This window comes from Homo sapiens, chromosome 5 (assembly GCF_000001405.40).
Source record: "Homo sapiens chromosome 5, GRCh38.p14 Primary Assembly".
NCBI classification, from domain to species: Eukaryota; Metazoa; Chordata; class Mammalia; order Primates; family Hominidae; genus Homo; species Homo sapiens.
In genome coordinates, this window is record NC_000005.10 from 57,398,742 (window position 1) to 57,413,286 (window position 14,545).

The following is a 14,545-nucleotide window of genomic DNA, read 5'->3' on the forward strand; positions in this document are numbered from 1 at the left end:
CTCTTTTTAAAGACAGCTCATGTCCTTCGTTCTTTTCTAGCGCCTGTGAAGTCTCTATTTTCCCATTAGGAAATGTATTGTCACGACTTGGCATTTAGTTTATAATGTGGAGGAAATTAAAAAGCAGTTGGTGATGTGAGACAGAGACCTCCAGGCCTCAGAGTGAAGGTTACATGGAATCCTCTGAGGGATGGGTCTTGTCACCCCAGCCGTCTTGTGACTGTGGGAGAAGACCTAAATTAGCAAGCGTGTTTGAAGGCACGAATTTCCAACTCCGTTTCTGAAGTTCCACCCTGAGCCCTAATCAGGTGCATTTTCTGGGAAATTGATGCTGAAGAGAACGTGCTTTTTTGGTGTTAATTCACAGAAATGTCAAGTTTTCCGAGAACTTATAGTAGTAGAAAATCTAGGACATAACCTCTACTACGATGACATTTTTAAAAAAAATACGCATCCATCTATATCCTCCGTTGACATTTCATTTTTTTTCTGATGAGAGAAATGCTGCCAAACATGGATGGTGATGAAACCTCTAAGAACACAAAGGATTTATGACCAGGGCACAGATGAGCTAGCTTCTCCACCTCAGGCCTGCCCTTTGTCAGCTTTGTGATCCAAATCAGATGAAGCAGAAGAAACTGGAGTGCATCATTTGACATGGAACTGACTCCCAAATCTTTTCTCTTACTTCCACTTACAGGTCTTTTTGGCAGTTAACCGTCTTGCTCCTTTTCCTCTTACATCTGAGATTCTACCATATTATGGAAGTAAAAGAATAAATGAATACAAGTTCCATGAATCTACTCATACAACTAAAGTTCCTTTCTTTTATTTTTTTAATGGACATATAATAATTGTACATATTCATGGGGTACATAGTGATTTTTTGATACATGTAATGTATAGTGATCAGATCAGAGTAATTAGCATATCCATCATCTCCAACATTTATCATTTCTTTGTTTTGGGAATGCTCAATATCCTCCTTCTAGCTATTTGAAACTATATAGTATTTTATTGTTAACTGTAGTCATTCAACTGTGGTATAGAACACTAGAATCTATTCCTGTTATCTAGCTATTATTTTGTGTCCTTTAACAAATCTCTTCTCATCCTTCCCTTCCCCCTACCCTTCCTAACCTCTAGGATTCTCTGTTCTACTTTTCACTTCTTTGAGATAATTTTTTTTTTTAGCTCCCACATACAGGTGAGAACATGTGATGTTCAACTTTCTGTTCCTGGATGATTTCACTTAATATAATGTCCCCCAGTTCCATCCATGTTGCTGTGAATGACAGGATTTCATTATTTTTCATGACTGAATAGTATTCCATTGTATATATACACCACATTTTAAAATCTATTCATCTGTTGTTATATGCATAGGTTGATTACATATTTTGGCTATAGTGCTGCAATAAATATAGGCTCAGATGTCTCTTTGATACACTGATCTTCTTTCCTTTGGATAAATGCCCAGTAATGGGATTGCTGGATCATGTGGTAGTCCTATTTTTATTTTTATTTTTTTGAGGAACCTCCATACTGGCTTTACTAGTTTACACTCCCACCAACAGTGTATGAGTTCCCTCTTCTCTGCGTCCTCACCAGCATTTATTTTTTCTCTTTTTGATAACAGCCATTGTAACTGGGGTGGGATGGTACCTCATTATAGTTTTGATTTTCATTTATCTCTGATAATTGGTGATACTGAGCATTTTTCCATATATTTTTGACCATTGTTATATATTTGAGAAATGTCTGTCCAGATCATTTGCCCATATTTTAACTGGATTGTTTATTTTTGCTGTTGAGATGGTTGAGTTCCTTGTATATTCTGGATAGGGATCCCCTGTTAGGTGAATAGTTTGCAAATGCTTTCTTCCATCCTGTAGGTTGCATTTTATTCTGTTGATTGTTTCTTTTTTTGTTATGCAGAAGCTTTTTAGTTTGATATACTTCCTTTTGTTTATTTTTGCTTTTGTTGCCTGTGCCTTTGAGGTCTTAGACTTTAAATCTTTTTTCACACCAATGTCCTAAAGTGTTTCCCCTATGTTTCCTTCTAGTAGTTTTTATTTTTTTATTTTTTTAATACGGAGTTTCACTTTTGTTGCCCAGGCTGGAGTGCATTGGTATGATCTTGGATCACTGAAACCTCTGCCTCCTGAGTTCAAGCGATTCTCCTGCCTCAGCCTCCCAAGTAGCTGGGATTACAGGCATGCACCACCACGCCCTGCTAATTTTTGCAGTTTTAGTAGAGATGAGGTTTCACCGTGTTGGTCAGGCTGGTCTCAAACTCCTGACCTCAAATGATCCACCCACCTCGGCCTCCTAAAGTGCTGGGATTACAGGCGTGAGCCACTGCTCCCGGCCCTTCTAGTGGTTTTAAAGTTTCAGGTCTTACACTTATGTCTTTGTTTGACTTTGATTTGATTTTTATACAGAGTGAGAGGTGTGGGTCTAGTTTCATTCTTCTGCATATGGATATTCAGTTTTTCTAGCATTATCTATAGCATTATCTATTGAAGAGACTGTCCACTCCCCAATAAGTGTTCTTAGCACCTTTAGAAAAGTCACTTGGCTGTAAATATGTGATTAATTTCTGGGTTCTCCACTCTGTTTCATTGGTCTATGTTCTGTTTCTATGCCAGTACCATGCTGTTTTTGTTACTCCAGCTTTGTAGTATATTTTGGAGTCAAGTAGTGTGATGCTTCCAGCTTTGTTCTTTTGCTTAGGATTGCTTTGGATATTTGGGGTCTTTTGTTGGTTCCATACAAGTTAAAACTTTTACAAAAATTTCTGTGAAGAATGTCATTGATATTTTAATAGGGATTGTATTGAATCTGTAGATTCCCTTGGGTAGTAACAATTAAGGTTTTTTTTTTTTTTGACAGGGTCTTACTGTGTTGTCCAGGCTGAAGTGCAGTAGTGTGATCTTGGCCCACTGCAACCTCTGCCTCCTGGGCTCAAGTGTTCCTCCCACCTCAGCCTCCCAAGTAGCTGGGACCACAAGCATGTGCCACCACGTCTGACTCCTTTTTTTTTTTTTTTTTTGTATTTTTTGAATAGAAGGGGTCTTGCCGTGTTACCCAGTATGGTCTTGAACTCCTGGACTTGAGCGATCCACCTGCCTTGGCCTCCCAAAGTGTTGGGATTACAGGCATGAGCCACCACACCTGGCCCGCAACTAAGGTTCTTAATGTGACTGCAAATATTTAGATTTTGCAATGGTTATCATGAAAAGAATGGTTGCTGCTTTGAATAGAGTTGAAATGTCAATGGATAAAATTTTAATCTCTGCCTGCAAACATACAAATAAGAAACAGGCATTTGTATTTACATCTCTTGGAAAGTTTTAATTTGTTTTTTGGATACATGAACTATACAAATCATGCATGAGCTCTTCTAAATTCTAAGGGGAAAGATAAACAAAATGATGGTAAATAAATGTTTCATTACTATTTATTATTTCAGCTATATATTTGTTTGGGCCAAATTAATGATTCTACCAGTTTTACTATTTTTTTCTAATCTGTATACTCATCCATTGGAATCACTTATGTGACTATTTCCACTATGTGTGTACCTTACAGTAGAGTCTTACAGTAGAGGACTCAATCTTAAATTATAATATGGTTCTAGTGGGAACATGTAAGCTGCTTTGCAAAGATGCCCTTTGAAATGATCTACCTTATACTACTTGCCTTTATAATGATCTGCTTTGCTATGCTCTTTTAAGGCATTACACTAGAGAGCAGAACAGTAAAAAGATCATACGCTTTCAAAACTTCCACCTGTCATTCATTGCAAGTCCTTGTCTTTGGCATTTTCATCTTTCCACATCAGTTGCTACAATTTCTTTCAGGGTATAATTACATCCACGTTATTTCACTTCCATTTTCTTTAGTCAGTTTAGGGGAAGAAATCCTTAGCAAAATAACATTTAAAACAACTGAGAGTTTTCAATTTTGAAGAAAGACATTATGAAACTGCATAGTAAGGGAATATAATCTTTTCAATTTAATTTAGTCCATATGTTTTGACAAAAGATAAAAAGAATTTCATATCATAAAAGAAAATAAATGTAACTCTGAGAGTAGTGTATTTCCCCCCCAAACAGTTTGTTCACTATTTTTAGAATGTATTTGATCTTTGATATTTTTCCAAAATCAGAGCCAAAGTGAATATTGTCAAAGACCATCCGGTTAAATGCATACATGGCTTCCTGTAGGCCTTCAATTTAGTGCGACAAGCATTTGTTAATCATGTCTGCATGCAGGACAATGAAGCAGATGACAATCAGTGCTTTGATTCTTTCTGAGGGAAAAGGACACTACAAGGATATATGCAATAATAGAGCAATACGGAATTTAATTCTAGGACCAATAGCAAATACTATTCATTACAATGTGGGAAACACTGAGCTAATTACTGTAGCTACAAGGGAGAATAAAAAGACATTGTTTTTGCCCTCAAGGAGTTTACAGTCTAGTGGTGGAGAAAAGAGAAAGAGAACGACAGCGAGAGTAAGAGAGAGAGAGAAAAAATTAATTACAGAAATCAATATAATTGCAAACTCTGATGGGTGCTATAAATCCATAGTCAGGGTGCCATGTTATACAGGGCAACCTAGTCTGTGGATCCCATCACCAAACAAGTGACAGTTAAGCTGAGATGATGCCCCTGTCCTAGCTCACACAGATGATAATATTTGAAGAGAGTTTAATTCAGGCACCCTTTACAGAGATGAGGTGGGAGGAGGAGAGTCATGTGGGATAGTGAAGCACCTAAAGATAGTAACACTGGGATCATCACATTCCTTGGGCTGAAAGGATGAGGGAGCCACTTCAGAACCCAGAAGGAGAGAGCCATATGGAGAGGAGCTGGAATCTTTGGTTGAAGGACCAGAAATCCTGAAGTGGCCTAGCAGGGAAAGGAGCTGAGGAAATAAATACCTCTGTCCCCCGCTAGCTCCTGCTGGGCTTCCTATTGGCTGAACCTAATGGGAAGCCAGTGGGCAAGGGAGACAGGCCCCACCAGGTTTGCTTCTTGGGGCAGAGAGTAGAATGGGGAAGGGTGGCGAGCAGATCTGGGGAGGAAATAGGAACTATCCAACAGAGATGTGTAGAAATTGATAAGGGAAAGAGGCAGGGACAGAGGTCTAGGGTGTGAGGAGGAGGGCAGACGGAAATACATGCACAAAGGTGAGGTGGTGAAGGAGGATTGTGTGAAATCCAGGAACAGGAGAGGATCCATGGTGACCATGAGTTGGACTTGGGTCTACATATTTAGAGCAGTGGGAAGAGACACTGGAGAGTTTCATAAGGGATGGGGCAGGGGAGGTGGGGAGGAGAGAAGATGAATAAATGGTCTTTGAAAAGATCAGGAGGGACTGCACAATGCCAGAGTGGATGACAAGGGTCAAGGTCAAAAGGTGTTAAAGTCGCTTTGTAATATTCGTATGTTTTATAGTCTAATGCTGTATACATGGCTCTGTAATTTGCTCTTGTTAAACTAATACATAGTGTATATCTTTCCAATTAATACCTCCTTTTAATAGCTGTATAGTATTTTGTTGTGCATATAAATATCTTTAATCTTATGAAGATATTTATACGTGGTCAGTTTTTTCTCTTGTGTGCAGTGCTGCTGTAACTGTTCTGGTATCCTAGGGGCAGATTCCTAGAGAAGAATTGCTGAGGGAAGGCATGTGACCTGTTTGTAGGTGCTGCCAAAGTGACCTTGAAAAAGGTTATACTGATTTTCACTTGGGAGGACTATTTCTAACTAAATGGAATTTTATGTTTTCATAAACTAGAAAACTATACCTCACTTATAAAATGTATTTTAAGTTTTTTCAAAAACAAATCCTGACTACTCACTTGACATTACCTTAGATGTGGGCTCATCTACTCCTGTATCTAGTGACCGTTATTCTTTTTTTCAAAAAAGAATTTTTTTCTATTTAAAAATAATAGCTTGAAAAATAGTAAACAATTAAAAATATTATTCAATATTTGTTAAAAATCTCTAGATCTAATTTAAATATTGAAATGTGACTTCGTTACAGAACTAAAATTGTTGAGGAAAAATACCATCTTGTGAAAAACTTCAGTTATATCACAGATTGGAGTAAATCCCAATGGGAATTTTAATTTTTTAAATGAACTATATTATTTGTTCTGTCAGATAAATTGATACTTTTTAGTAGCCAATAAAATTTTGGGTAACTTAACACACACAAAAAACAACCAAAAGACAAACAACCAAACCAAGGAACTTATAAAACCCCTGGAAACACCATGCAAGTGATTTAATATGTTAGATATATTCTAATTATGAACCACAATTCTAATTAATTCTAATTAAAAACCACAGTGTAGCTGCATTACTTCATTAATCATAGTTTCATAAACACCAAAATGAAAAGAAAAAGAGAATAAAAGGTAGCAGTGATTTTCTTGAACAGAGGGACATACTAGTCAAAACTTTGGGTTGCAAGTGACAAAGCCTAACTCAATGAGGGCTGAGCACAAAAAGGGAATTTGCTTGCTCCAAAACTAGAAAATACAGAACAGAAGTGGCCACAGGTACTTGATCCAAACACTCAAAGGATGTTGACCGATTGTGTTCCGTCTTCCACACTCTATTCTCCATCATTTCACCTTCCCTCATATTTTAACTCATTTCTCTCAGTGTTTCATTTCTTCTGCACGTGGCAGGCAAGATGGCTACCAGCAGTACAGGACCAGAAGATCAGAGCTTAGCACCCACAAGGGCAAGAAAGCTGCTTCTTTTTAGAGGAGACAGGGATGATTCCCAGCAAAATTGGCCCTAATCTTAAGAAACAATTTAAGCTCTCTGAAATACACTTTCCACATTTGTAAAAGCTTTGTGAGTTTAAATGAATGTTGTATGTAACATATGAGTGCAGTGCCAGGTACAAGGCAGATGTCCAATAAATGGTAGCCCAAAAGAAAGAGAAAGTTGAGAAATGGTGTGCTTTGGAGAGGAAGACAATGAGTTTTCATGTTCTAGTGGTGTCTGAGGTGCTCATGAGAGACTTGGAAAGAAATGTCTAGCAGGCAACCAGTGACAGGGATCTGACACTTGGAGGCAACTTTTGGGAGAGATTGTGGTTAGAATCATGGGAGTTTGCTACAGATTTTAAGGCCTCTTTGCGCTGACCAAAGAAATCCTAGCTTGTAGTTACAAATATGGGTTCTGTGTTGGGAAGAGCTGAAGGGGTGGCCATGCCCTAGAGGTGGGTTGGAACAATATCTCTCCTGGGACTTTTGTGCCAAAACAGAGTTGTGTTTTTCTATTGTTCTCTCAGGAGATTCTTGCCTAGAGCTTGGGTTGTTCCTTTTTCTTATTGCTATTTTTATCCCCTTGATGGTGTGGGTTTTTTTCTGAAATTTCACTTCATTTATTTCAAAACAGTGCTTTAAAAAACATCATGCCATTATTATTTCCAAGTACTATGTGAGGTCACAACAGTGAACATTACAAATAGCAATGAAGCAGATTAGAGCAGTTCTTTCTGGGATCAGATTCAAGATTTATCTACAGGACAGAGGTCTCTGGAGGAATCTTTGATATCCAAAGGGTACAGTCAACTCCTAGCAGTCATTGGCAGAATTCAGGGCAGAGAAACAACTGTGGATATATGAAGATATATGTGTAGTGTCCTGTTTGAGGGTGTAAACTACTGATTCTGAGGGGTCATTTATAGAATCTGCATAACTTTTAGTTTAATGTGGACCCCTAATTAATGGTAAATAATAATAATACCTACCACTCAGAATGCTTAGGTGATGTAAGAAGAAGTTTACCCCTGAAAGAGAAAAATGGAGGGAAATTACATTTAATAACAGGATGAGTGTAATAGTTTTTATCACTACTGTAACAAATCATCACAAACTTAAGAAGAGTTTAAAACAACACAGATTTATCATCTCATACTTCTGTAAGTCAGAACCGTAGGTTGGCTAGGCTGATTTCTCTGCTTCAGGGCTCACAAAAAGGCCAGGCTGCGTTCCTTTCTGGGGGCTCTAGGGAAGAGTTCACTTCTAAGCTCATTGAGGTTGTTGGCCAAATTCAGTTTCATGTGTTTGCAGGACTGAGGTCCTCACTTTCTTGCTGGATCTTAGCCAGGGGTCTTTGTCAGCTTCTAGAGGCCACCTGGATTCTTTGGCTCATGGCCCCTTCCTCCATCTTCAAAGCCAGAAATGGTGGGTGGAGTGCCTCTCACACTCTGCATCCCTCCAGCCTCTTCTTAGGTCTCCTCCATCCTGCAGCACCTCTCTGAAGGACTCTTTTGCCTTCCTCTTCTGCTTCTAAGGGCTCATGTGATCATAATTATGCCTACCTAGGTCATCCAGAATAATCTCCCTTTTTAAAGTCAGCTCATGGGTAACCTTAATTCTGTCTGCAACACACCTTCACAGTAGTATTTAGATTCATATTCGATTGAATAATCAGAGATGAGAATCTTGGGAGGACATCTTTAAAATTCTGCCTACCACAGTGGGTTAAATGGGATTGACAGAGCTTCTTCCCCAGTGGATCTCTATAGGGCTTTTTAGAAGTTCTTATGGTTCTTTCAGAATTTAGGACATTTTCTATGATTATATTAACAGAATTGAAGAGTCTGATCTACATAGACCCGCAAGAGAGTCAAAAATATACTGTGTATGTGTGTGTGTATGTTTGTGTGTATATGTGTGTGCATGTGTGTGTGTGTGAGAGAGAGAGAGAGCGAGAGAGTGGCGTGAGTGAGAGAGAGAGAGAGAGAGAAAGAGGAGTATGCCCAAACCGGGGAAGCCAGTCTGGCAGATGGTGTAATTTTAAGGCCTGGCTGGGTGGTCAGCACCAGCATGAGTCTGCATCTGCTGCAGTTAGTAGAAGCAAGAGCTGTAGGAAGGAAGAAAGCCAGTGGATTTTTCTGGTTGGTTCTTGGATATGTTCAGGAGGTGTTACGGGCTGAACTATTTTATCCCCCAATTCATATATTGCAGCTCTAACTCCTGGTCCCTATGAATGTGACTATATTTGGAGATGGGGTCTTTAAAGAGGTAACTGAATTAAAATAAAGTCATTCAGGTGGCCCTTAATCCAATACTGTTTGTGTTCTTTTAAGAAGAGGAAATTAAGACACAGAGATGTACAGAGGACACCATTTGAAGACACAGAGAGAAGATGGCCACCTAAAAGCCCAGGGCAGAGGCCTCAGAAGAAATCATCTCTTTGATCTTGGACTCTCGGCCTCCAGAATCATGAGAAAATAAATGTCTGTTATTTAAGTCACTCAGTATGTGGTACTTTGTTATGGCAGCCCTAGTGGACTAATAGAGGAGGATTCGTTTCCACAAGGAAGGCTGAAATCTTGACCAGGGAGAAGCTGGTAGCTCCAGCCTGCAGCAACTATCTTTCCTTCATCTGGTGGCAGCTGGGGTTTTCTCAGCTAGCATGGACCTAGAAAGAATTCTAGTAGCTGCCCACATCCACTCTGGGGTTCATAATGGTGGGCTCTGGCCATTCCCACTCCAGACACCTGTCACGAGTATTTGGGTTGAGGGCACATGCTCCGAGTGGATGTAGGATGGAAGTGGTCTCTTTCTTGGTGATTTCAGGGCCTGCTTAGCAACGGGGTGTGGGCAACTTGCTGCGCATACTCTGGCTTCTTTATTATCTTGTCCTCTAGGGCCCTGCAACCCACAGTCTTGCGATTTTGGCAGAAGGGCTGTGGCATGCCTAGTTTTGGAATGAAAGGAATACTGGGGAAAGGTCAGGTAGTCTGAGTTCCTATCCCAACATTGTAAATGATTAGAAATTTTACTGTGGGCACATTGCTACTTTTCTTCATCTGTAAAATGAAATGGTTGCATTCCAGAATTCTGTGATTCTGTGAATCATTGGTAGATATAGATTACCTAGATGGTTTAAAATATGAAATCTGAGAAACACCACCATATAAAGTTGAAGCTCAAACTCAAACTTCTCTTCCTAGGAAGTGTGGAGAGCTTCATAACTTCCATGCTGTGGTGCTTCTACTGGTGAATTTCATTTAGTTATTCATTTGTTGTAGCTAAAAAGAAAGATTTCACAATAACCACTTCTTGGACAGGATTAAAGTTCAACTCAGGAAATCTCAAAGTTTGGCTACTAATTCGCTTTCTATTTTTAACCACACTTCATTTCACAGAATAATATTTTCCTCTGTGTCTGAGTGGTGCTCTAGAAACAGAATTTAGTAATGAAAACCTGCTTCTCAAAAGCCCTGTTGCTCTAATGAGTACCTACCCTGAAGGGTATGCCCAAGTTCAAGGTATGGAACTCTGAGCATGTAAAATTTTCATCTGTTGTTAATTATTGCTGTATGTATTCAGTTTTCTGAAGTCAGATGGTTTGTAGTAAGACATTGAAGTTTTATGTCCAGTAAATATTTGTATACACATCCCCCAAATGTGTAGAATAAACAGAATGATTTTCAACTTTCTGTAAATTAAGGTTATTTTGAATTTGAAAATGCTTGAGAAGGAAAACAAGCCTCTCGGTGAAACTGGGAGGCTTAATTTGTGCTCATCTTCCTTAGGATTTCCTTTGCAAAGTCGAGAACATGAAGTGCAGGGTCTGGATGTGAAACTACAAGTTTTTGCTTGGGTAAAATTTCTATGAGCTTTGGCCTACTCTCTAATTGGAATGTGAAATTTTGAGCAAGTCCATCCAAATTTTATTAATTTGGCAGACCATTATACCTTAATGAAAAATGAACAAAATTTGCAGTTTTTGACATAGAAAATATTTTACCTCTAGACCATGAACCTCTTTGGAAAAATTGTATTTCTTCGATGAGGTGTACTTGATGATAAATTTGGGAGCTCTCACACACCCAAATGTATAATTTGTAGTTGGTCATCTTTTGTTTATTGATATTATTCCAAAACTTCTCAAATCTTTTTTTTTTGTCACCATGGAGTGGTTCTCGTAGATTTTAAGCAAAAGTTGAAGAGAAAGCTATGATTTCTAGTGAATGAAAAAATAATTGTTAAATTTTTTTTTGAAAACAATTGTTAGGTAAGAGCTTATAATTAAGGACCAATTCTAAGAGCAGGAAAATGAGGGAGAACTAGCCATTTACTATAGCAACTGGAGTAAAAACAGAAAATGAAAAGGTTTTCTGTAGCCTCAGGTACAATTGAGAGAAGTGTTGTCAGCAGGGGTTTAGGTTTGAAAATCGAGGACTTTCTTTTGATCCTCTGGTACTAAATTGAAAGAGTTTCGCTGGATCCCCAAAAGGCCTTACATTAACAGGAGGCTGCCACTCATGAGCTTGTGAGTGGGGTGGGGGTAGGGGTTGGGGAAGAGTTGGGAGGATGTACCTATAAATAATGAATTAGAATGCAAAGTCATGTGAAAAACGTGCTATCTTGAGTGACACACTTATTGATGAGAGGTGGAAGGAGGAGCTAATGATGGTTTTTGACTAAGGCAATTGAGGAAGTTTCTGTGGGGAGGTGGCATTTTATTGGGGCCTTAAAGAATGAATAGTAGTTGATAAACACAGGTAAATTTAAAAAAATAACAATGACAGGAACTAAAATGTGCACATTAGGCATTGTGCTAAGCTCATTTAAATGTATTATCTCTTAAACCTTACAAAAACTCCATGGTACATGTAATTATCATCCCCATCTTAAAGGTAAGGAAACTCAGGTAAAGATAATTTGACCAATATGACACAAGTGCATTTGAATTAAGATATGTTGATTCAAGCAACTGGGCTCTTTCCAGGAGAGGGGGCAATTTACAAGGAGGAGACACCTTCATCAAAGAGCCAGATGAGCAATTTTTTATGTGGCTTACATATAGGAAATTTGGGGCAATGAAGTGAGAGAGTTAGAAATGAGGTTGAGGCCAGATGGCAGAGCCCTGAATATTATTCTAAGGACTTTTTTTTTTTTTCAGGCAATGTGGAGACACTCAGGGTTTTCGAGTGGGAGGGTAGTGTGATTTAACTAGTGATTGTAGGATAAGTCTGGTAGCAGCCAGAAAGATGGATTTGAGAAGGGAGAGTTTGGAGGTTAGGGAGACAGTTCCACAATAACTGTGGCACGCATGTGCGAGGATGAGGAAAAAAGCCAAGGCATGGCTAGTGGGAGGGAGCAGGGGCAGAGCTGAGGGCCATTGCAGGAGTGGAGCTGGCTGGGTATTGTAATTGCTTGTGTGGAGGGGTGAGGAGGAAGAGTTTCAGTTTCCTCTCTTTGGAATATAGTGATACCATTGACATAGGAGTACAGAAGCAAGAATTGGGGAGGAAGAATATGTGTTGGGTTTGAAGTGTGTTGAGCTTGGAACAAATATCCAGATAGAGATGTCCAAAGGGAATTTGGAAAATCTGGGCCTAGGACAGAGTAAGAGAATTTGGCAGACACAACATAAACATAAAAGTTGAACCATGGAACAGAATGGAGGACAAAACAGAGGCAGACCAAGCTTAGATCCCAGCAAAATGCCTGGATTTAAAGGAGTAGGTGGAAGAATAGAAAGCAGTGGGGGAAAATGTAAAAGGTGTGGTCATAAGCTTAAGGGCAAACATCCTGAGTTTATAAGTGCCTAGTGGGCAGTGACAATGTCTTAATAATTTGGCTCCTTGGCTTCAGTTAGTGGTGCCTTCTGCATAATGGGAGCCCTATGGGTACTTGCTGGATTGAGTTGCATATTTCTGCTCTGAGGAACTAGAATGGAATAGGCTCTGTAGAAAGGGTTATGTGTGTCCCTTGAGCTATCCCAGGAGTGACACAGTGAAGGACAAACCATCCTCGTGACCAATTCCATATTAGTGTCGTTCATATGTTTTTGAATATTTCCTTTTTACAGATGTAACAATAGGGATTATCAGACCCAAGAAAACAAACAAGTGGTATCAAGGCAGGAAACACACACATGCCCAATTATGGCACCAGATTTTAAGAAAAGAAGCATCCCAGGGGGTTGGAAAGGCAGGTGGAGAGAAGTAAGTGATGGATTTAGAGTGAACTATTGACTGAGAAAGCCAGTGACTGTTCTGTTTCTTAGATATAAAATGAAGACTGTAATGACCTTTTCATGACATATACTTGACAATTATACTAATTGTTTAATAACGCAGGGGGTGTATTTACAGAAAAACTTGGTGGTGATAGCTTTAAAATGGCCTTCCTGTCACTGGAAATCATCATGAACATATTTATATAAGAGAGCTTGAAATGATGTGGTAAACAGCTTTTCAGTGTGATATTTCTAAATTCAATGAGAAATTAGGGAGGATTGATGCAATCCACCAGGCTAGTCTAGGCTCCAGACCTCATGGAGAGCTGAGCTAATGGGTAGGACGGAATATAACTTAACCCCAAGGCTGAGGACAAGGGCTGAAGTGGCAGATTTTGGACATATATTGACTATTGCATAATGGGAGAAAACGGCTGTGACCAGATCTGTGCTTTATTTTCTGCTCTCTGCACTAGAAGGTCTGATAACAGTGTGTGTGGTTTATGCCCGAGTGCAGCTGACTCAGGCAGCGGCAGACTTTGAGTCAGTGTTTAAAGGTAAGAGATGATGCTGTTGGCCAGAAGCAATTTCATTTAGGATTAGTGTTGTCAGATAAAATACAAGATGCCCACTTAAATGTGAACTTTAGCAAAACAACAAAAATTTTTAGTGTAACTCTGTCTCATGCAACATTTAGGACATACATATACAAAAAATTACTTGTTGCTTATCTAAATTTCAAATTTAAGTGGGTGTTGTATGTTTTTATTTGCTAAATCTGGCAATGCCACGTAGGACTGAGTCTTGTTACTGTGAGGTTGCTTTTCTCTTCTATTAGTGCAAACCAGGATCTGGCCTAGGGTGCCAGGAAAACTATTTTATTTTCAAATGTTTGAGTTGGTCCTGGAGAACTTCTGTGTGTATCAGCTGTGAAGGTGAGAAATTGACTGAGAATTGGCAGGTTTGAAGATAATTAAGATACTTCTGGCTTTGACTTTATAGAAATTTTTTTATTGTGGTAAAATATACATAACATGAAGTTTACCCTTTTACCCATTTTTAAGTGTGCAATCCCTTGGCATTAAGTACATTCACATTGTTGTGCAATCAACATCAGTATCCATCCCCAGAACCTTTTCACTTTCCAAAGCTGAAGGTCTATAACAATTAAATAATAATTCCCATTCCCTACTCACCCTAGTGTCTGGCAATCACCATTCTACTTTCTCTCTCTATGAATTATTTGACTATTTCGGGTACCTCATATTAGTGGAATCATACAATATTTGTCCTTTTGTTGGGCTTAATTTATGTGTTTGGCTTAGCATAATGTCCTCAAGGTTTATCCATGTTGTAGAATTGTATTAGAATTCCATTCCTTTTTGAGGCTGAGTAATATTCCAATATATACATATAACACATTTTGTTTATCCATTCATCTGTCAATGGTCATTTGGGTTGTTTCCACATTTTAGCTATCGTGAATAATGCTGCTGTGAACTTTGGTGGACA

At 38.9% G+C, this 14,545-nt stretch overlaps 1 long non-coding RNA gene across 1 annotated transcript in view; it reads left to right on the forward strand.

The window, feature by feature from the left end:
• The window catches only part of RMEL3 (enriched in melanoma 3), a 140,307-nt gene that overhangs the window by 3,635 nt on the left and 122,127 nt on the right, over nt 1-14,545 (forward strand). The window lies entirely within an intron of this gene.